This window comes from Homo sapiens, chromosome 7 (assembly GCF_000001405.40).
Source record: "Homo sapiens chromosome 7, GRCh38.p14 Primary Assembly".
NCBI classification, from domain to species: domain Eukaryota; kingdom Metazoa; phylum Chordata; class Mammalia; order Primates; family Hominidae; genus Homo; species Homo sapiens.
This window is the reverse complement of record NC_000007.14, coordinates 78,084,605-78,109,615: the sequence shown is the minus strand read 5'-3', so window position 1 is coordinate 78,109,615 and position 25,011 is coordinate 78,084,605. Positions and strand designations below refer to the sequence as shown.

Sequence of the window (25,011 nt, the reverse complement as noted above, 5' to 3'; positions counted from 1 at the left end):
ATGTCTCCCAGGCTGGAGTGCAGTGTCGCCATCTCAGCTCACTGCAACCTCCACCTCCCGGGTTCAACTGATTCTCCTGCCTCAGCCTCCCAAGTAGTTGGGACTACAGGCACGTGCCACCACGCCCAGCTAATTTTGTGTATTTTTAGTAGAGACAGGGTTTCACCATTTTAGCCAGGATGGTCTCGATCTTCTGACCTCGTGATGCACCCACCTTGGCCTCCCAAAGTGCTGGGATTACAGGCGTGAGCCACAGGATTTTCTTTTTTTTTTCTTTTTTCTTTTTTTTTTTTTTTTTTTTTTTTTTTTTTTGAGACGGAGTCTTGCTCTGTCGCCCAGGCTGGACTGCAGTGGCTCGATGTCGGCTCACTGCAAGCTCCGCCTCCTGGGTTCGCGCCATTCTCCTGCCTCAGCCTCCCGAGTAGCTGGGACTACAGGCGCCCGCCACCACGCCCAGCTAATATTTTGTATTTTTAGTAGAGATGGGGTTTCGCTGTGTTAGCCAGGATGGTCTCAATCTCCTGACCTCGTGATCCGCCCGCCTCGGCCTCCCAAAGTGCTGGGATTACAGGCATGAGCCACCGCGCCCAGCCCGGATTTTCTTTAAAAGGCCTTCTACAGCCTAGTCCCATGCCATTTTCCATCCTTGTATGCTACTCTATTCCTCCAATTTATACCAACCATTGCTGTTTCCAGGACACACACGATGTATATATTGATAATATATCATGTTACATATATTGATATATATAGATATAGATATATTGATATCTTCCTCTAGGTTTGGGAAGTTCTCTGTTATTATCCTTTTGAGTATATATTGTGTATATACACACAAACACATATATACACACACTCACGTATATACACTCACATATGTGTGTGTATACACACACATATATACACTCACATATGTGTGTGTATACACTCACATATATGTGTGTATACACACACACACACACACACACACACATACAGAGAGAGAGAGAGAGAATGAGAGAGAGAGAGACCGACCCCAATATAACAGCAGGTGGAAATCTCAACACCCTGCTTTCAGCAATGGACAGATCATCCAGACAGAAAATCAAAAAAGAAACACTGAACTTAATCTGTACTATAGACCAAATGGACTTAACAGATATTTACAGAAGACTTCATCTGACAGCTGCAGAACACACATCCTTCTCTTCAGCACATGGATCATTTTCAAGAATAGACCATATGTTAGGCCACAAAACAAGTCTTAAAAAATTCAAACAAATTGAAATTGTATCAAGTATCTTCTCACACCACAGTAGAATAAAACTGGAAGTCAGTAACAAGAGGGACTTTGGAAACAATACAAATGCATGGAAATTAAACAATATGCTCCTGAATGACCAGTGGGTAAATACAAAAATTAATAAGAAAATTAAAAAATTTCTTGAAACAATAAAAATGGAAACACAGTATTCTAAAACCTATGAGATACAGCAAAAACAATATTAAGAGGAAAGTTTATAGCAATAAGTGCCTGCATCAAAAAAGTAGAAAAACTTCAAATAAACAACCTTACAAAGCATCTTAAAGAATTAGAAAAGCATGACAAAATCAAACCCAAAATTAGTAGAAGAAAGGAAATAATAAAGATCAGAGCAGAAATAAATAAAATTGAAACCAAAAAAGGATACAAAAGGTCAACAAAATGAAAGCTTGGTTTTTTGAAAAGATAAACAAAATCAATACTAAGAAAGAGGGAAGACCCAAATAAATAAAATCAGAGATGAAAAAGGAGACATGACTACTGATACCACGGAAATATAAAGGATTATTAGAGATTACTATGAATAGCTATATACTAATAAACTGGAAAACCAAGAAGAAATGGATAAATTCCTAGACATCCATAACCTACCCAGATTGAACCTTGAAGAAATCAAAATCCTGAATAGACCAGTAACAAATAATGAGATTGAGGCTGCTAAAAAGTTTCCATCTGAAAAAGAAACCAAGAAAGTAATCTCATTTACAAAAGCTTCAAATAAAATAAAATGCCTAGAAATAAACTTAACCAAAGAACTGAAAGATCTCTACAATGAAAACTATAAAACATAGATGAAAGAAATTGAAGAGGACACACACAGGAAATGTTTTATGTTCATAGATTGGAAGAATTAATATAGTTAAAATGTCCATACTACTCAAAGCAACCTACAGATTCAATGCAATCCCTATCAAAATACCAATGACATTCTTCAGAAAAATAGGGAAAAAATTCTATATTTATACTGAATCACAAAAGACCTAGAGTAGGCAAAAGCCATCCTGAACAAAAAGAATAAAACTACAGGGGTCACATTATTCAAATTATACTACAGAGCTATAGTAACCAAAACAGCATGGTACTGGCATAAAACTAGACACATAGACCAAAGGAACAGAATAGATAACCCAGAAATAAATCCAGATATCCACAGGGAATTCATTTCAAGAAAGGTGCCAAGAACATACATTGGGGAAAGGACAGTCTGTTCAAAAATGGTGCTGGGAAAACTGGATATCCATATGCAGAAGAATGAAACTAGACCCTTATCTTTTGCCATATACAAAAATCAAATCAACATTGACTAAAGACTTAAATTTAAGGCCTGAAACTATGAAACTACTAAAAGTAGTTGGGGAAACTCTACAAGACATTGGTCTGGGCAAAGATTTCTTGAGTAATACTTCAGAAGCACAGAAGACCAAAATAAATACAGACAAATGGGATCACATCCAGTTAAAAAGTTTCTGCACAAAAAGAAAACTATCAAGAGAGTGAAGAGACAACCCACAGAATGGGAGAAAATATCTACAAACTGTCTACCTGACAAGGGATTAATAACCAGAATGTATATGGAGCTCAAACAACTCAACAGGGGAAAGTAAAATAATCCTATTAAAAATGGGCAAAATATCTGAATAGACATTTCTAAAAATAAAATATATACAAATGGCAAACAGGTATATGAAAAAAATGCTCAACATCATTAATCATCAGAGAAATGCAAATCAAACCTACAATGAGATATCATCTCACCCCAGTTAAATGGCTTTTATCCAAAAGATAGGCAGTAACAAATGCTGGTAAGGATGGGGAGATAGGGGAACGCTTGTACACTGTTGGTGGGAATGTAAATTAGCATAACCACTGTGAATAACTGTGTGGAAGTTCCTCAAAAAACCCCCTAAAAGTAGAACTATATGATCCAGAAATCCTGCTGTTAGGTACTCAAAAGAAAGGAAATCAGTGTATTTTAAGAGATATGTGCACCCCCTTGTTTATTACAGTGGTATTCACAATAGCAAAGATTTGGCATCAACCTTAAGTGTCCGTCAATGGATGAATAAAAAAATGTGGTACATATACAGAATGGAATACTATTCAGCTACAGAAAAAGGAATAAAATCCTGTTGTTTGCAACATGAATGGAACTGGAGGAAATTATGTTACATGAAATAAGCCAGGTACAGAAAGACAAATTTCTCATGTTATTACTTATATGTAGGAGCTAAAAATTAAAACAATTGAACTCATGTAGACAGAGATTTGAATGATAATTACCGGAGACTGGGAAGTGAAGCAGGCAGAAGGGGGAAAAGTGGGGATGGTTAATGGGTACAAAAATACAGTTAGATAGAATGATGAAGATCTAGTATTTGATAGCACAACAGGGTGACTATAGTCAACAATAATTGATTGTAGTTTTAAAAATATAAGTAGAATTGAAATGTTTCTGATACAAAGAAATGATAAATTCTTGGAGTGATTGATACCCCAATTACTCTGATGTGATTATTACACATTGTATGCCTGTATCAAAACATCACATGTATCCCATAAATATATGCACCTATAATGTACCCATAACAAAAATAAAAAATAAAAAAAGGAAAATACAACAATAACAATAGAAAAGTGGCGAAGAGGCAACACGCATATCACAGAAGAGGAAAATGAATGATTCAAACATATGAAAAGATGTTCATTACTAACTAGAAAGAAAATTAAAACCATAATGATATACTATTATGTTTTTCATTTCCACCATAATAATAGAAATGTATATCAATTTTATATCAAATGATGACAAAGATATAAAGCAACAAGGACTCATATCCTGCACATAGAAATACACAATATGCTACAAACACTTTGGAAAATTTCCTTGCATTATTTTGCAAAGTTGAAGTTGCTCAGACCCCAGGACCTATCAAATCTGTTCTCAGGGATATACTTGAGAAAATCTTGCACATGTGTATCAGGAGACCTTTAGAAGAATGTCTGTAACAGCAATGTTTTCAACAGTAAAAAACTGGAAATGACCCTAATGACCATCAACAAGAAAATGGTTACTTAAGTTAGTATTTATATAACAGGAAACTATTCAGCAGTGAAAATGAATACACTATAGTAATATACGTTAACGCCAGTAAATTTCACAATGTTGAGCTAAAAAAATCAAGGGAATATAAACAATGTCTATAAAGTTTAAAAAATGTGAAGCTAAGCAATATATTATTGAGGGATATAGCCATATATTATAAACTATGAGGAAAAGCAAAGGAATGATAAACAGAATTCAGAAGAGTAACTTCTGGGAGATGAGGTGGGAGGGAGGAGACACATTGTTCTATTTGTTAAGGCGGTTAGTGATTGCATGGGCATTTATTTACTATTGTTGTTTAAGCTGTATATATATATTCTATAATCTCTTTTCTACTTTGATATATTTCATAATAAAGATATAGCAAACAGTGTGCTATTGGAGTGCTGATGAGGGAGCACTTCATCTGAAAGGAGGTGGGAGTGGGAGATGAGAGGCAGGGATCCGTGAAGGCTTCATGGTGTAGTCAGAACTGGTTCTTGAAACATGAGGAGGGTTTTAAGGATAGAAATGGACAGAGAGGAGCTTCCACTGGGAAGAACAGGATGAGGAAAGACTTAAAAGTGTGAAATGGCATTGTGTGTCCTGGAAACAGCAATGGTTGGTATAAATTGGAGGAATAGAGTAGCATACAAGGATGGAAAATGGCATGGGACTAGGCTGTAGAAGGCCTTTTAAAGAAAATCCGGGCTGGGCGCGGTGGCTCATGCCTGTAATCCCAGCACTTTGGGAGGCCGAGGCGGGCGGATGACGAGGTCAGGAGATTGAGACCATCCTGGCTAACACAGCGAAACCCCATCTCTACTAAAAATACAAAATATTAACTGGGCGTGGTGGCGGGCGCCTGTAGTCCCAGCTACTCGGGAGGCTGAGGCAGGAGAATGGCGCGAACCCAGGAGGCGGAGCTTGCAGTGAGCCGACATCGAGCCACTGCAGTCCAGCCTGGGTGACAGAGCGAGACTCCATCTTGTTGAACAGCCCCTCTCCCCATCCTGTCCTTTTCAGAAGTTCTCATGAGCTGCTCCCCTGCTCCATTCCTCACAAGCACAGCCAGGGAACAGGGCCCCTAGATATCAGGGGCATTAGTAATGGCCAGCCACTTTGTTTTGTTTTGGTCCCCAGTAATTACACCTCCCAGGAGTATTGTAGAAGCCCAAGAGAGGCCCCACCAGAGCAGAGCTGATCCCAGGCTGTGTTCAGGTAATCCACCGTAGCTCAGATATCACAAATCATGGAGAGGTATTTGTTGTGTTTTGGAGTGCCAGTTTTCTTACCTACACATTGCCAGTAAAATGAAAATTCGAGTGGATTCACTTTGCTTTTCAACTACTAGAGTGAGTTAAAATGGCACTAAATACAAGTATAAAGTTCTTTTCTGAATCATGCAAGCATGAAAGGGAAATATTTCAATTCATAGCCTCGATAAATTCATGTGCACTGTACTTTTTCCATGCTTTCAATTCTGAGCAATTGAACATGTATTTATTCATTACATACCAGAATAAACATTTCTAGAATATGCAGACAGACACTGTGAGGCACTGTGGGAGGCAGAGTAGTATACGGGAAAGAGCCTGGGTTTGGGCAGAGCCCAACTTCGTCACTTACTAGCCGGGTAACCTCAGCTTCCTCATCACAAAAGAAAGGTCAATGCATACCTACCTTGCAGAGTTTTTGTAATAATTAAACAAGGTAATTAATATAAGTGCCTAACACTACCTCATGTGTTCTAGGGCATTAATAAATTGTTGCAAGTATGATGATGATGAAAAAGAGAGGGAAGTGTCGGAAGGATCATTAATTATGATAAAATGACTCAATCCCTACTCTTTGGAAATATATACTTCATGTCTGTATAGATCAATAACTCAGAAACAAGGCTGACTACAAATGAGAACTATAATTATCACAACCATATTTTCAAAACCAAAAATTAAAATGTGATCTGAGAAGTAAATGAATGTAAGAGCATATTGGGATCTAATATCAAAAATTGGGATTGTCCCAGAATATCTAAGGTATGCAATCCCTATAGCTGTAACAGAAGCACTGATCATCTGCAGTGGGAAAGATCAATTTTGTCTTGAGGAGATTCCCTAAAAGAGGTGAAGTTTAAATGGGATTTTAATGGGACTTCAACAGGTAGATATGAGGAAAGAGAGGAGGAATTCCAGATAGAAGAAGGAGTCTCATAGAACAGGACAGAAGACATGGCCCTATCCCCCAAGTGCCTTTTTATCATATGGAAAAGATTATAGATAATCCTCAGGACTCCAGAGAATCCCCCCGGGTAGGTATGGAAGCAGGAAAATAAGACGGAAGTAAAATCAGCAGAACGCTGCGTACCACCTCACACCCGCAACCCTGTTTCAGACAAAGCAGTTCTGCTCTTATGTATTATCTATTGCCTTTCTCAAGTAAAATTTCATTTATAAAAGACTTTCCACTGCTTAATGAAAAGTAAAAAGTAATATTGTTAGGTAGTGTGCTTAGCCTTGCCTTGTTTTCTGTAACTAATCTATGTAGCCCTTTTGGTGAGCCTAAGATGACTTTTGCTTTGGTTACTTATCTTGCAAAATTGTGTGAGTCCTACCGGAGACAGAAGCCAACAGTGCTGTGGGATGTCACTTGGGTCTGGGACTGTCTTTTTGTGGGGGAAAGGGGGAAGTTTAAGATAATTTTCTTTTTTAAATGTTTTCCAGCTTTATTGAAGTATGACTGACAAATAGAACATCATATGTATTTAAGGGGTACATTATGATATTTTGACGTAAGTGTGCCTTGGGCATGATTTCCACAATCAAACTAATTCACATACCCATCATCCAACAGTTACCATTAATTTTTTTGTGGTGGTGAGAACATGTAAGATCTACTCTCTTAGCAAATTTCAAGTATGTAATACAGTATTAACCATAGTTACCATGCTGTACATTAGATCTCTAGAACTTATTCATCTTGTAACTGCAAGTTTGTACCCTTTCACCATTATCTCCCCTTTTCCCCAACCCCCAGCCCCTGACAACCATCATTTTACTCTGTTTCTCTAAGTTTCACTTTTTAAGGTTCCACATATAAGTGATATCATGCAATATTTGTCTTTCTGTGTCTGGCTTATTTCACTTAGCATAGTGTCCTCCAAGTTCATTCACATTGTCACAAATGGCAGGATTTCCTGATGGTTGAAGTCTGAGTTACATTCATATATATATTCCATTTTTTTAAAAAATTCACCTGTTGATGTATACTTAGGTTGTTTTCGTATCTTGGCTATTGTGAATATGGTGCAATGAACATGGGCATACACGGATTTCTTCAAGATTCTGATTTCATTTCCTTCCGATATATATCCAGAAATAGGATTACTGGATCATATGCTAGTTCAATAAGAGTTCTAATTTTCTGAGGGGCCACTACATTTTTCATCATGGCTGTACTGATTTATATTCCCATCAACAGTGGTACAAAGGTTCCCTTTGCTGTGCAAATGCTCTTTGGTTTGATGCAGTCCCATTTATTTTTGTTTTTGTTTCCTGTGCTTTTAGTGTCATATCCAAAATATCATTGCCAAAACCAATGTCAAGGAGCTTCTTCCCTATATTTTCTTCTAGGAGTTTTAAATTTTCAGGTTTTATAATTAAGTCTTTAATCCATTTTGAGTTGATTTATGTGTATGGTGTATGATAAGGGTCCAATTTCATTCTTTTGCATGTGAAAATTTAGTTTTCCTAACTCCACTTATTGAAGAGACAATCCTTTCCTCATTGTGTATTCTTATCACTCATGTTGTTGAAGATTAGTTGACCCCATATGCATGAGTTTATTTCTGGGTTCTCTACTCTGTTTCATTGGTCTGTGAGTCTATTTTTATTTCAGTAACATTGTTTTAGTTACTATAACCTTGTAATATAATTTGAAATCAGGAAGTGTTATGTCTCCAGCTTGCTCTTCATTCTTAAGATTGCTTTGGCAATTTGAGGTCAAAGGGTTCTATGCAAATTCCAGGATTTTCTTTTTCTATTTTTGTGAAAAATGCCATTGGAATTTTGTTATGGATTACATTAAATCTGTTGATCATTTGGGCAGTATGGACATTATAACAATATTTGTTCTTCCAATCCATGAACACAGGATATCATTTCCTTTATTTGTGTCTCTTTCAATTTCTTCCATCAGTGTTTTATAGTTTTCAGTATATGGATCATTCACCTCCTTGGTTACTTTTTTTTTTCTAAGTATTTTAATCTTTTTGATGCTATTGTAAATGGAATTTTTAAAAATTTCTTCTCAGATATAACATTGTTAATGTATAGAAATGCAACTGATTTTTATATGTTAATTGTGTATCTTGCAACTTTACTGAATTCACATATTAGTTCTGACAGCTTTTCTGGTAAATTCTCTAGTATTTTCTATTTAAAAGATTATGTCATCTGCAAACAGAGACAATTTTACTTCTTCCTTTCCAGTCTGTATGCCTCAAAATAATGAAACCGACATATAGCAAGCACACATCTAACATCATACCCAAACTTTGTTTTAAAAAGAGGTGGCCCTTGGCTGGGTGCAGTAGCTCACACCTTTAGTCCCAGCACTTTGGGAGGCGGAGGTACAAGGACCACTTGAGCCCAGGAGTTTGAGACCAGCCTGATCAACATAGTGAGCCCCCATCTCTACAAAAAATTTAAAAAGTTAGCTGGGTGCAGTGGCATGTGCCTGTGGTCCCAGCTACTTGGGAGGCTGAGGTGGGAGAATCACTTGAGCCCAGGAGGTCAAGGCTGCAGTGAGCATGTTCACACAGCTGCACTCCAGCCTGGGTGACAGAGTGAGTTCCTGTCTCAAAAAGAAAAAAAGAAGTGGCCCAAGGAGGATGTGGAACAAGCATAACTCAGCCTGGAATGCAGGGTTGTATGATTCAGATTGTGCTTCAAATCCTTTTGTGGGGAAAAAGCAGCCCTCCTGACATGTCAAGTAGGAGTTGGGATGGTGACACTGAATAGTAGATATTGGACACTCTGAGAGGAGCACCAGTGGGAAGCGACGCAAAGTACTATATCATAGGCTCATAGTTACGCCCTAGAGGGACATACTGAACAAGCAGGCTTCTTTGTAAACAGGTATGTCTCATATCTGAGCTCCCACATGAAGGTGAATTAGAGGCCTCTAGTGAAAATAACAACTCAGATGTATACTATGGGAAATTACAGAGAATATTGTCATCCACTGTAAGAAGAGTGTAAGAATCAGTGACTCATTTTTTAAACTGTTAGTTGTTTCTATTCCCACTCCTTTGTGGGAATTCCCACTCCTTTTAAATTGACCACACTATTATCATTGGCACATTAAAGTGTCCTGGAATGAAATGAATACATGTAAATTTTCCATTTGTCTCCCAAGTACCCAAGTGGCAATAAATCTTACACTGAGAAAAGGCAAATTGGAAAATAGAAATGCATTGGAAATGTCCAAGAGAACATGGTAACAGTTAAAACAATACCACAAGGAAGTATATCATAGCTTTCTATGCTAACAAAGGTATTGTTTCTTGGTGCAGCAAGGTGAATTATGGAATAAGAGTTTGGGGAACCTCATATTTTACACAATTTTATATAGATCATGATAATAACACATGGCATTATACAGTTCTTCTATTAGGTAAAAGCCTTATCTTTTTAGTGATGTATTACTGTTTTCAAATCTGTGTTGGGAATATCTAAATTTGAAAAGGAACAGAGTGGTTTTAAAAAGCTCCCTGTTTAATTCAATGCACACTCAAAACTCATTTTTGAATAGGCTGGAATAGGCAATTGGGCATTAAACAGAACACTATTGTAAAATGTATAATTTAAGGGAAAAAAGTTAATCATTTATAACTCAGTTGTTTCCTAAATATTTCATTAAAGAAAATGTCAAATGGTTAAAAATTTGAACTTTGATTTATATGAATAATTCTTTGAGAAAAATGCTTTTCATTTTCTAAAGAAGACCTCTTAAACATCTAAGGATTAACTTCTAATAAAACCTTTGTCTGCAAATTACAATTAAAATATTTGAGTTAGGAACTGATACTTAATACATTTCATGAAACTTTACAAGTGAAGTAGAGAGATAAAGCATAGGTATTGTTCTTAAACTGAAATGCTGATTATTATTCACTTTATGTAACCAAAGACTTTGGAAATCATTTGTATTTGAAAATGGGGATAAAGAATGCTATCCAGAACATATAAATAATAAAAAAAACTCCATGAATTAAAAACAAGAAAGACAACCTAATGGGAAAAAAATTGGCAAAGTACTTAAGGAAGAATTTATGAATGAAGAAATTCAAATGGCTAATAAATATCTGAAAACATACTCCGTATCAGGAAAATGCAAATTAAAGCAGTAAGATAGCACTTTATATCCATCAAATTGGCAAAAGTTTAAAGTCTGGCAACTCCAAACATTGGCAAGGATGTGGAGAACTGGGAGCTTACTACGGTCACTACTGGAAATTGGTGTAAATTGATGCAGCAACTTTGGAAAATAATTTGGCAACATCAAATAAATTTAAGGGTGCACATATACTCTACAAATCAGCAACTCCACTGCTATGTATATAGATCTCGTTTTTGCTAATGTACACAAGGATACATTTTCAGCAATGTTTATTACAGCATGATTTTTAATTGCAAATATTAGAGGGAAAATTCTAAATATACGTCAATAGAATAAAAAAACTGTAGACTTTATATAATAGAGAATTATGTAGTAGTGAAAATGAACTGTATCCTCTATATGAACAGATATCTTCTATATTTGCTAAATTGCAACAACGTAATGTTGAGTCAAAAAACAAGTTGCAGAATCACATATGTAATGCTATTTATGTAAAGTTTTAAAACTTGAAATACTACATGTATATTCCTTATGGATATGTACATATGTAGTGAAAATCATAAAAACTGGAACTAGAAAGACACTCATCAATTACAGAATAGCCGTTACCTTTGTGAGGAGAGGAATAAAGTCAGAAAGCATGCAAGGGGCTCCAACTCTATCCTGAAGACATTTTTATGCAAAACAGTTTGAATTAAATCTCTCACAATATTAACCTAATTAAACTCTGGCTGGTGAGTGCAAAGATGGGTGTTTTATTATTCTCAACTCTGTAATATTTTTAAATATTACATAACTTTAATAACACATGAATATTACATAATTTTAATAACACACGAAATTTTTCATCATAGATTTATGAATCTGAGAAGGGTTCTTAAAAAGTCATGTGAGCTACATACACCCTACCCACAGGTCTATTAGTGCACAAGTCAGCCAAGATAAGTAGTTGCCTTTCCTAAATTTAAAGTTCTAGACTGGGGATTGGCAAATTTTTTATTTTTTTATCTTTTATTTTAGGTTTGGGCATACATGTGAAGGTTTGTTACATAAGTAAAGATGTGTCATGGGGGTTTGTTGTATAGATTATTTTGTCACCCAAGAATTAAGCCCAGTACCCAATAGTTATCTTTTCTGCTCCTCTCCCTCCTCCCACCCTCCACCCTCAAGTAGACACCAGTGTCTGTTGTTCCCTTATTTGTATTCATGAGTTCTTATCATTTAGCTCCCACTATAAGTGAGAACATGCAGTATTTGGATTTCTGTTCCTGTATTAGTTTGCTAAGGATAATAGCCTCCAGCTCCATCTATGTTCCCACAAAAGACATGATCTCATTCTTTTTTATGGCTGCATGGTATTCCACGGTGTGTAGGTACCATATTTTCTTTATCACATCTGTCAATGATGGGCATTTAGGTAGATTCCATGTCTTTGCTATTGTAAATAGTGCTACGATGTCCATTCACATGCATGTGTCTTTATTATAGGATGACTTATATTCCTCTGAGTACATACCCAGTAATGGGATTGCTGGGTCAAATGGTAGTTCTGTTTTTAGTTCTTTGAGGAATCGCCATACCGCTTTCCACAATGGATGAACTAATTTACACTTCCACCAATAGTGTATAAGCTTTCCCTTTCTCCACAACCTCACCAGCATCTGTTGGCTTTTGACTTTTTAGTAATAGGCATTCTGACTGGTTTGAGATGGCATCTCCTTGTGGTTTTGATTTGCATTTCTCTAATGATCAGTGATGTTGAGGTTTTTTTTCATATGCTTGTTGGGCACATGTGTGTCTTCTTTTGCAAAGTGTCTGTTCTTGTCCTTTGCCCACTTTTTAATGGGGTTGTTTGTTCTCTTGTAAAGTTAAGTTCCTTATAGATGCTGGATATTAGACCTTTATGAGATGCACAGTTTGCAAATATTTTCTCCCATTCTGTAGGTTGTTTACTCTGTTGATAGTTTCTTTCTCTGTGCATAAGCTCTTATGTTTAATTAGATCCCATTTGTCAATTTTTGCCTTTGGGCAAACTTTTTCTATAAGGGGACAAATAGTTCACATTTTGGACTTTGGGAACATGCAGTCTCTCATGTAACTACTCAACTCTACTGCAGTAATAGTACAAAAGAAGCTGTAGACTGTATGTAAATAAATAAACATGGCTGTGTTCCAATAAAATGTTACTTAAAAAAACAAGCACTGGGCTGGATTTGACCTATGGGTCACAGTTTACCAACCCCTACTCTAAACTCAGAGATGCATACATTAATTCCAATGTTAACTCTCAATAAAGAAGATAACCCCAATTATTAGAGTTTTATATGGTCAGGTTTTAGGTAAGTTTGAAAGTTTCCTATTGAATAAGTTTTAATGTAACTAACATTTATTGAAAACTTACCATGTGTCAGGCACTGTGCTAAGGTTACCTGCATAGCCCTATGATCTTCTCAACAACCTTATGAGATGGACACCACCATAATTCCCATTCTCAGAGGAGGAAACTGAGATTTGCAGAGGTTAAATGACTTGTCTAACATCTCTAAGTTAATAAGTGATATTAGTCATAAGGTGCAAACCAAGGACTCCTGATTCCACCAAAGCCCGTGCTCTTAATAACATTGCTACCATTGCTACATTATCTTCCTCCACAGTGTCCTTCATGCCTTCACAATGTGAGTTATCCTGTATAAACAATAACAACTAAAAGATCAAAACATACTGTCAGAATAGAACCTAGCATATTAGGTTTTAAGAATAAACATGTTATACACATTAGTCGGTAACCCTTTTTACAATTTGGCTAATAAGGACTTAAAGAAGAAATGAAAATGAAGTCACTTTTCCATTTTCTAGAGTGAGAATGAGTAATTAAAATTAACAGATAATCCACAAGCTTTATCTAGTTCCCTGTTTTTATTCTGTTCTTTCTCTCCACATGGTATGATAATATAAGTTCCCAGCCTAGATCCTTCCAGTTGTCTAGGAAATTATGACTCATGCCACAGCCAAAGATAAAGACTAAGTTCCTCACATTTTATTTAGAGAGTCACCAATAGTGAGGCCAGCCACCTCCTTGTGGTGACTGTTGGGAGCTTGGGATAACAGAATTTTTAAAAGCATTAACCATCCCTTCTCTCCATCCCACCCCATTCTCCATGAGGGAAAAAGGTATCATATATGCCCTGTTCTCCTCCTTCATAATTGGGGATCCTTGAACCATCCTTGCCCTCTACTCCATGGGAGACTTATGATTGCTTCTTGTCTAAAAGTAGCTGAGCCATTGAATCAGCAGAGACCCAGATGAGCTAGGGATCGCAGAAAAGAACTGAGAAAAGATAGAAAAGAGAGGTAGTTCTAGAGAAGCCAGCACTCCCACCATTTCCCATGGGTTGAGTGGACACTACAAAAGGTGATTTGGGGCTTCAGCCTGTTGGGGCATTTGCTAACTAAAGTGACCCCTACTGAAGAGGCTGTAGTTTGGAATATCCATAGTGGGGAAGGGGTGCTGAGTGAAAGAGGAGGAGGCCAGACTCATCTGTATCTCCCAATATGGAGAGGTCTTCCAAAAAAGATTTACTATCTTCCAAAAAAGTAACCCAAATCATCCTCACGAGAGACAGCAAGTATATCACTGAATTTGAATTCTCTGAGGTCAGAAATCTTGTCTTCCTTGATGTCTTCTTACCCTATCCCCAGCATCTAACATGACCTGGCACAAAGTAAGCACTTGATTAAGATCTGCCATACAGAGAACACCAGCAAAAAGAAGAGAGCAGACTTGCCACCAGCAACTCTTGATCTCTCTAGGGTATGTTGTCCCTCATACATACCCTGCTACCAGCACTTCCTTAGATGACTGGAGGGATAAAGAAAGAGAGAGGGCGGCTGCAGAGGGGAGAGAGGGAAGAATAAGGCCCTTTCTCCACTTAAGTAGCTCAAGCCTTCAGCCTAGTATGCAATGAGAGTGGGAGAGATTTTAATTGAAGATTGCAATGCTAATTGTGCTAGACTTTAATAGATTAAAATGTTGAAAAAATAATGGGATTAGGCTGCTACCCAGTGGGAAAAGGGCAGGAGTCAACAGCACAGCTGGTAGCAGTTATTGGAAAAATAAATCAATTGCACATTGTCTCTCAGTGACTACAGACAGTTCAATCAAACCAGTTACATTAATAATGTGATATCCTTGGAAAATAAAGGTGATAAGAAAATAAGGATTTTCTGTCAGGACAGGCCAGTGGAATTGTTTTTGTAGAAATGGTGATGAATTTTAGGGTTCCCATTCATGTATTTGTACCCCAACCTTTGGTGACAAGTGGTCCACATTTGTAAAATGACTATGCAGCATCACACCAAAGAACAATGCAAGATTGTACAGGGACAATGCAGGAGGGGCCAGCCTCCACAAGTAGCAATATAATGATGAATTCAGGCAGGTTTGAGGGAGTATCACTGAAAGATATCCAAAGATTACTAGAAAATGCAAGAAATTGAATGGAAGAAATGACAAGAGCCATAGTTTAAGGCAGGAACCAAGAACAGAAAACTAGAAAATACGCTCAAGGAATTAAAATACATGGACAGAGGAAGCATCATGAAGTGGACTGAAGTTGTTCTTGAACAGTCACCCATACAGTGTTAAAGGTATCTGTCTAACCCAAATTAAGGGGTACAGTCAGTGGCATGGGAGAGCTCAAGCTAAATAATCATGCAAAGATTAACTTGATATCTTGGTACCGGTGGTGTTCATTCTACATTATTTATTGATTGATCAGTTCTCAATGGAAAAAATATATATATGAATTAGAATTATATTTTTCAGGGCTAATTTGAATTTTTCTGCTCCCTCCAGCCCATAGAAGGTTGGTTGGTTGCTTGCTTGCTTAGTAGCTTGATTTGAGAATTAAGTGAGATAATATTTCAAAAGTACCTGGCATAAAACCATGTGAATAAGTGCTAATTATTATGAAGGGTCCATTTTTTCATTTGGGTGGTTCACAACTCCGTAACAAGCTCTTGGGCAATTAATTGAGATCTCAGTGTAGAAATGGAAATCTAAATGCATGTATCTCGTGGCATAAGTATCAATGTTCACACAGAGAACTAAAAATAATTTAAGTCTAGTTAGAACGTATGATAGAGTAATATCACTTTAGCTATCTGTTTCAAACCAATTATGAAACTCTTAAATAGCAGCAAGTGGTACTCTGGGTTCTGAACATGGAGGGCGCCTCTTATATCAGCTTCCCAATTGTAGTCAGCTCTTGTGACTTCACATCAAATTGTATTTTGTTCTCCACCAAATATTCTACATATGTTAGGTTGGTGTAAAAGTAATTGTGGTCTTTGCCATTACTTACTTTTTTTTTTTTGAGAAGGAGTCTCACTCTGTTGCCCAGGTTGGAGTGCAGTGGCACGATCTCGGATCATTGCAACTTCCACCTCCCAGGTTCAAGCAATTCTCCTGCCTCAGCCTCCAGAGTAGTTGGGATTACAGGCGTGCGCCACCATGATTTTTTTTTACATTTTTAATAGAGACAGACTTTCAACATATTGGCCAGGCTAGTCATGAATTCCTGACCTCAAATGATCTGCCCACTTTGGCCTCCCAAAGTGTTGGGATTATGGATGTGAGCCACCACGCCCCACCTGCCATTACTTTCTTTTTTTTTTTTTTTTTTTTTTTTTTGGAGAAGGAGTCCCGCTCTGTCACCCAGGCTGGAGTGCAGTGGCTCAATCTGGGCTCACTGCAAGCTCTGCCTCCCAGGTTCACGCCATTCTCCTGCCTCAGCCTCCTGAGTAGCTGGGACTACAGGCACCCCCCACCACACCCAGCTAATTTTTTTGTATTTCTTTAGTAGAGACGGGGTTTCCCTGCCATTACTTTCAACAGCCAAAACTGCAATTACATTTGCACCAACCTAATACTTCATTGGATGCAGGAGTCATTTTTTCAAGAAATTGGTAAAGCAATAGAGGTAACAGTATGACTGTGAATCAACATATGCATGGGAAAGTCTCCTTTTGAAATGGCTGATTATCCAAGGGATGTATGTGGAATTCTGAGAGCAGCTGCAGTTACATTAATCAGACAATTATTAACCGAAACTGAAAAGTGGGACAGTTCAAAAAGTACATTGCAAAGCTACAATAAACCAGAGGCTTTTTATTTTAGTGATTTAAGAAAGCTTTATGTTTTTATTTCCAATTAACCTATTAATAGTGATGTCACTTAAATACTCCTAAGGAATATTATCTCCTCATTATTGCCAGAAAACATGCTGCCCAATTTCATAGCTCAGCTGTTCTCATGCATGGATGGACAATCTGAATTAACATGAACAGAAACAAGATTTTTAGACACTCGGCTACATTCCTAGTTGTAAAATTTAAGTAATTAATATGTGACTTTAAATAGTCAAAGAAAGTAAAATGGATAATGTTTATTTCGTGCATCAAAATGATAGTGATGCACTGCTACTCTTTCTATTTATTTTGTTAGCATATCAATAGAAAAATCAGTATAATCCATGCACTCATTGTCAATACCATTGAGTATTATGGCAAAGAGTACAGATTCTCTGAAGAGCTGACCTTAAATCAAGCTATTAGAGACAGACTGTATTTTTATTATGGCCAAACAAAGATAGTAGACCTCAGAGACATGAGTTTTTTCACTTGGTATACTCCTTGTGCACTGTTAAAATTGGGCACAAGGACATTGGTGATCCCACTGATCTGAAACTTTAACACATGTAGTTTTGAAAGCTAAGGACAAAACTAACATTTATTTGAAGAGAAGGTAGTTATAGTGACCAGGGAAATTCAGACCCATGAAGTACTAACTAGATGTATTCACACTTACAGCTATCCTCAGTACACGTGAATCAGACTTTCTTTTTCATCCTACTCATGCTTAAATGAACCTGGGTTTTAAAGCTATTTGCAACACATGAATATGTATTTGCAAACAATGTCCCAAAGGTTAACAATACATCATAAAATCTCAAATAGCTGCTTCTTCATGTAGAAGAAACCTTTATCTCTGAACCAAGTAAAATCCTACTATTGTGCCTTTCTCCCCACTCCCTACTTCCGCAATGCTGAAGCAACTTCATAAAGGGTAAGGAGCTCTGGGTGTTGGAATTAGGGAACCTGCAACTGGTCTTGTTATTTCCACTTATAAGCTATGAGATCTTTCATAAATTCCTATTCCTCCCAAAGGTCAGTGTCATCACCTTAAGTAAGGATAAGAGAAACCAGAGATAAAAAGATTAATAAGATGAGCTCCTTGCCCTCAGTGCCCCTATGCATGCTTTAATTGGTGTCTTAGTCTGTTTGTGCTACCATAACAGAATACCTGAGACTGAGTAATTTGTAAAGTAGAGAAATTTATTTCTCACAGTTCTGGTTTCTGGGAAGTCCAAGATCAAGGCACCAATATCTGGTATAAACGTTCTTGTGTCCTCACATGGCAGATGGCAGAAGGGCAAGAGAGGACAAACCCACTCCCGCAAGCCCTTTTAATAGCAGCATTCACCCATTCATGACCCAAAAACCTCCCAAAGACTCTGCCTCCCTACACTGTTGCACTGGGGGCTGTTTCAAACACATGAATTTGGAGGGACACATTCAGACCATAGCAGTGGGTGCAGAGTAATAATTATCAGCAACCACTTCCTTAATTTACCCCCAAATCATTCAATCGATCATTCTGTCTCTTATTCATTCACTCTTACTCTCTTATCACACACACACACACACACACACACATACACACACATACACATCAGTCACTACGATGTTAAAAGCTACAAAAGATATTGTGGAAATATACAATCAAATCTCTGCTCTCAAGCTGTATACTGGGAGGTAGTTATAGAATAACTATCATAAATAAGAGTGTATTTCCCAGTGCTTCTCACAGGACTGGTAAATGCAAAAATCAGTCTGTCTGCTTTCAGCCAGTTATGCCAACAAAGGCATGGTTATTTCAGAAAGAAAAGAGATGCTTCCACCTTGTGGCTGTGTCTTCCTCAGCTGGTTGCTGGCACAGGCTTGCTGTTTGTAAGCTTGCCTCTCCTTGCAAGTAGAAGATTGTGTTGTTTTTACCTCAATACATTTTTTTTGCCTTCTTCATATTATAACAAATATTAGGGACCTTTGTTAAGACTTTGTTCTCTCAGAATTCAAGGTTGCCTTTGGCCAAAGTGAAGTAGATAGCATTTACTTATTCATTTAAGAAATATTTATGAAGCTCTTATCTTGTGCCAGGCACCTCAGTTGACAGTAGGAAAACCATAGTGAGCAAGGCACAGGCTGCCTCAAAGCCCCCCTCCAGTCTCCCATACACCCTCACCTCCCCCAAAGACTCTCCCTCTGCCATTAATCATTTGTGCCCTACACAGTAATCAATTTGTCCCCACTGCAAGGTTTTATCATCTATTATTTTCAAGGCAATGCACCAGCTACTACTAGAAGATACAAAGATACACTCCCTCTTTCCAAGAGTTTATAATTGAGTAGGTTCAGAAATGGTAGTGGGGAAAATAAATACACAGATACCTAGACTAACAGGCAGTGTGACTGTAAGTGCTATAAGAGAGGCATAGCTGTAAGAGCAGTGGACACACAGAGAAGGGAGGATAAATTTCCCCTGGAGTGACCAGCAATGGCTTCTTGGAGGATTTGAGCAGAGCCTTGAAGAATGGGCATGATTAGGAGATGGGATTGAAGGATCCAGGGAGAATGACAAAAATAACAAGGAAGGCTGAGGACAGCAGCAAAAATGCCGAGGAAGGAAGAGTGGAGGAAGTACAAGTGGGCCAGACTAAACACAAGAGAAGGGTGGTGATAAGCCAGAAGGTCACAGGGACAAGGTCCTAAAGGATTTACACCTCATGTCAAGGAGTTTGGATTCTGTTCAAGAAGCATGGGGCAGGAGGGGAGGTGTTTGAGGAGGAGTGAGGCAAAATCAGAGATGCTCTTTGAAATATAATTATGGCAACCATATGGATGGAAAGAAGAGGGGAAAGAGAGGAACAGCCAATGTAGAATGGCAGCAAGAGAAATGGGAAATGAGAGGCAGCTGCTGGAGACAGGGTACATGTAGAACTGACGGGACTTGGAAACTGACCAGAGGCAAAGGTAACTCTGACATCTTAGGCAATTTTAAAAAGAGCATTCAACTCAGTAACCCTGACGCCACTCCTCTTTCTATAATGGTATAGAGGCGACACATGTTAAAGTAAAATATTAAAACAAATAAAGGTTTCCAAAAAGTTTCTCCAATAGGATTTGAGCTAGACTGCCATTTGATTTTTGTCTTGTTCTTGAATTATTGCTTAAAGCCTTCGTCTGGCATATTTGGCATATTTGATGTTTTAAAATCAATTCCATCCCACACCTACCCCACCCCAGTGCTTGTTCTTCCTTTATTCTACCTTCTCCCCCAGATTTATTCTACTTGCTTCTCTGCCCTACTCTGGGGGAATGATGGCTATGTCTGTATCACCCAAACACTCTTGCCTTCTGGCTTCCTATTGGATTTGGCCAATGAGAAGCATCAGCAGGAGATCAGAGGGCAGAAAGAGAGAAAGTACATTAGTTCTCTATTCCTGCTGTAATAAATGACCACAAACAACACTAATCGATTGTCTTACAGTTCTGGAGTCAGAAGTCTGAAATCGGTTTGTTTCACTGGGTTAAAATCAAAGTACCATGTCAGCAGGGCTGGTTCCATTTGGAGACTCTGGGGTAGGAACCCATTTCGTTTCCTTTTCCAGCTTCTAGAAACTCCTTGGCTTATATTTCCTTCCTCCATCTTCAAAGCCAGCAGCTTAGCACCTTCTGTCCTCTCTGACCTCTGCTTCTGTCTTGCATTTCTCTCTCAGACTTTGACCTTTGTGATTATATTAGGCCCACCCAAACAATCCTGGATAATCGTCCCATCTCAAGATCCTTAAGGTAAGCACATCTGCAAAATCCTTTTTGCCATGTAAGGGAACATAACACAGCTTCCAGGGACTAGGAGGTGGACATCTGGGGATGGGGGACTTTATTCTGTCTGCCACAGAGAGGTTGGGGTATTTCTTACCCTTTGCTCCTGCCTTGGTGCTGTGGGCCTGGCAGCATTCCTTCCCGCTACAGCTCCAGCTGTAGACAGGCAGCCTCTCTTTCATGGCGCCAGCTCTCACTCAGCCCCTGTAACTTCTTTTCCTCCCTGATGTCTTTCAGACTAGAGGTGGTAACAGCACTCACCATATTTATCCTTCATTGCCTCAACAGCCCTCTTTGATTGCATTAACCCTGCCCATTCTTCGAAAACAGTCCCATCATTAAATTATCTTCAAAATCCCAGCTAACCAATGTCCCCGCCACCCATCTTGGTGTACCTTTTCATGCTCATTCATGCTGTTAACTTGTCAGGTCTAGGACTGGTGCACACACAGTCTGAGAGAGAGATGTAAAGACAGAAGCAGAGGTCAGAGAGGAGAGAAGGTGCTAAAAAGTTGAAATGTAAATGCAATATGCAAGACAGTTAGCTTCAGGAAAACAAGGAATTGTTACCATGAGTCAGTATAGAAGTCATTGCACAAAGCCGAATGCTTATCCAGAAAATAAATGTATCTGATTAGATAAGTATACATAATAATAATCCCGCATTTTCTCTCAATTACATCCAAGGAAGAGAAATAACACTCATACAGAGTTCACAATAGAAAGTTTCCTCTTTGATTTCCTTTTTGTTTATTTTTCAGTCAACTAGGGAAACTGACTTCATGACCTAATATAAGTGATTTCTGAGAACTGGATAAGCTAGCTGAGCTGCCAGTGATAGCTTTCTATTCTTAGGCCGATAATTTTAAGATATTGCCCCAGTTTCTTTTCACCTGAGCAGTCAAACTAGCATATGAAAAATGTAATGATGGTAGTTATTTTTCCTTTGTAGAAAATGTTTTGCTCCAACCAGCTTGTCTTTAAAATCTCTTTCTTCACATTCATGTCTGTTGCCACACTTGCAGTTATTTCTCTGTATTAGTTTAGGGTTTGGATTATCTGCCCAACATTCATGAGATTCTTTTCCTAAGAACTTCATCTAAAATCATGGAATACAAAATACCATTCATGTCCTAAAAGAATTTCTATCAGGCAGTGCTTATCAAAAAGAAGAGTTGTTTTTGTTTTGTTTTGTTTTCATTTTTAACCTCTCAATGATATTTCCAGAAAAATATCATTTGCCCCATTTCCCCATTTAATACACCCTCAGAAGCTCAACCGCTTCTCTCCCAGGTTCATTATGAAAAATTTATTACTTTTTTTATCTCTTCTACCGTTATTATGATAATTATAATGATCTATTGTTAATTGTAACTACTATGATTAATAATAGATTACATTTGTATATTTAGAGATTACAATGCACTTCCCATATATTATTTGATCATGATCAAACCTGGTTGACATATATTATGAAACCAAATTAGAATTTTATTATAAACCTTGTTTACATTTGGTTTAAACTCTAAGGAGCATACAGCCAAAAAGATAATTTCTGAAAAATGCCTTTTTTCAAACATTCATCCATCTGTTGAACAGATATATGTGGTTATTTCCCATGTGACAGAGTTCCTGTCCTTGGAGAGCTTACAATATTATTGGCAAAGGTCAATACTTCTAAAGAAATGCACAGAAAAGGCACCCAACCCAGACTGCTGGGATCATAAAAGGCTGTCTGGATGATATCATCCCTGAAGTTTGGTTCCTAAAAGATAAGTAGGATTTCCCTTTTTGAAGTGGGGAGAAGGAGGACTCAGATTCTAGCAAAAAGAACAGCACAGAGAAAGGCACCAAAAAGGAAACATGCCAAATACCTTAGAAAGGTAGGAAGGGCCAGACGCAGTAGCTCACGCCTGTAATCGTAGCACTTTGGGAGGCTAAAAATGGGTGGATCACTTGAGCTCAGTAACTCAAGACCAGCCTGGGCAACATGGCGAAACCCCGTCTTTACCAAAAATATAAAAATTAGTCAGACATAGTAGTGCACGCCTGTGGTCCCAGCTACTTGGGGGGCTGAGGCAGGAGGATTGCTTGAACCTGGGAGGTCAATGTTGCAGCGAGCCGAGGTCACGCCACTACACTCCAGCTTGGGTGACAAAGTGAGACCCTATCTCAAAAAAAAAAATAATAATAATAATGGGAAGTGATCACCCAGAGAGCATGCATAGAGCTAGGGGAGGGGAAAACTTAAAAGAATTAAACATAAACCCCAGTTAAGAGCCCTAGAAGAGACCGGGTGCGGTGCCTTACACCTGTAATCCCAGCACTTTGGGAGGCCAAGGCAGGTAGATCATCTTAGGTCAGGAATTCAAGACCAGCCTGGCCAACATGGTAAAACCCTCTCTACTGAAAATACAAAAAATTAGCCAAGCGTGGTGGAGTGCGCCTGTAATCCCAGCTACTCGGGAGGCTGAGGCAGGATAATCACTCAAACCTAGGAAGTGGAGGTTGCACTGGGCCAAGATCGTGCCACTGCACTCCAGCCTGGGCAACAGAGTGAAACTCCATCTCAAAAAAAAAAAAAACATTAAAAATTAAAAAAAAAAAGAGCCCTAGAAGAGTAAGGAGATTTAGAAAGAAGCTATCTAATAAAATTCTCTGTATGAGATTAATATCAGTAACAGTTGACAAGGAAAAAGGAAGGAATCAGTGAAGAAGATACCAGATCATAATTTAGAGCTCAACTACTTCCACAGTAGGGATACTGTGTCATCTTCCAATTTTACTTATATTTTCACATTTTAATTTAGAGGATTTTTGTAAATAGAAATGGAGGCTCCGGAAGGGAGAGCTCCCCCTAAATCTTTGCTAAAGCCAGCTCCCCGTTATGAATGTCCAGACAAGGCCACACTCCCACCATAGGATACTGTGCTCAAGTCAAAGGCCGGATATTTTCTGAGCTGTGACTACATCTTTTCTAAACACAAATAATAACAACACCAAAGAAGGCGTACCACCTGCATCAAGTGGTGAATTCTCAGAATCCTGCAGCAGCCTTTCACTTCCAATAGCAGCTTTTTCCCCTCACCTTTGTGACCCTCCTAAGCAGGTTATGTGCTTAGGCAGAACCTTGATGAAGGATTCTTCTCTCTTCTGTGCATCCATAAGGGTCATTTCACACTTCTGCTTGGATGAAGTTTCTCAAGAGATGCTGGGACTTTTTTGGGTTTGATTTTGTTTTGTTTGTGTGTGTGTGTGTGTGTGTGTGTGTGTGTGGGAGTTTTATTATTTTGTTTTGTTTTAGAGATAAGTCCTCACACTTGTTCCCCAGGCTGGAATACAGAGGTGCAATCATGGCTCACTGCAGCCTCGAACTCCTGGGCTCAAGTGATCCTCCCACCTCAGCCTCCTGAGTAGCTAGGCATGCACCACCACACCTGGCAAATGTTTTTTATTTTTTGTAGAGATGCGGGTTTTGCCATGTGTTTCAGGCTAGTCTTGAATTCCTGGACTCAAGCAGTCCTCCCACTTCAGCCTTCCAAAGAACTGAGATTATAGGCATGAGCCAACATGCCCAGCCTGTTTTCTGTTTAAGTGATTACTGTCTAAAACATAGCATAAAGAGAGTCTCAGACAGTTTTCAATACATAAATGAATTGAAGCAAATAAAATTCACAGTTCTGGTGCTCTCAAACATGTGTTTCAGTTTCCAATTGGATTAGAAGTTTTCTCTCTGGAAAAACCTGCTAATTTTATGGGCTCCTGTGCCTTGCTGAGGCAACTGAGCCTAACAGTTTATAACAAAAGCCAGGCCCTGTAATAGGCACTTGGAACCCATCTAATTCAATCGCGATCTAATGAAAGAAATGGGAAGGTTAATGAAAACATTCAGTGTAACCCCTTGAAAAATATTCTTCCTGTAATGGTTATTAAATAATATTGAACAAAGTTAATCATGAAAACAGCCAGTAGATATTAAAGATCACCATCAAGTTGGAAATCAGCCTGTCCTTTGTTCCATCAGGGCCATTAGGGCACAGGCATCCCAGCGTCAGAGCACCCATAACAATGACTGCAGCAGCAAAGACCCTAATTCTGACTTTTCCTTTTCCTGGAACTTCATTATTTCATTCAGACTCAGCCTCCATTCCTCTTACTCTCAATCCTAGCATTTGTTTCCTATAACTTTACCTGTCACTACCAATGTATGTAGGTCACCAGT

General features: G+C 38.3%; 1 protein-coding gene across 15 annotated transcripts in view; it reads left to right on the top strand.

Moving 5' to 3' along the window:
* MAGI2 (membrane associated guanylate kinase, WW and PDZ domain containing 2) overlaps window positions 1-25,011 on the top strand; it is a 1,436,613-nt gene that overhangs the window by 1,344,052 nt on the left and 67,550 nt on the right. The gene's annotated exons all lie outside the window — the stretch shown is intronic.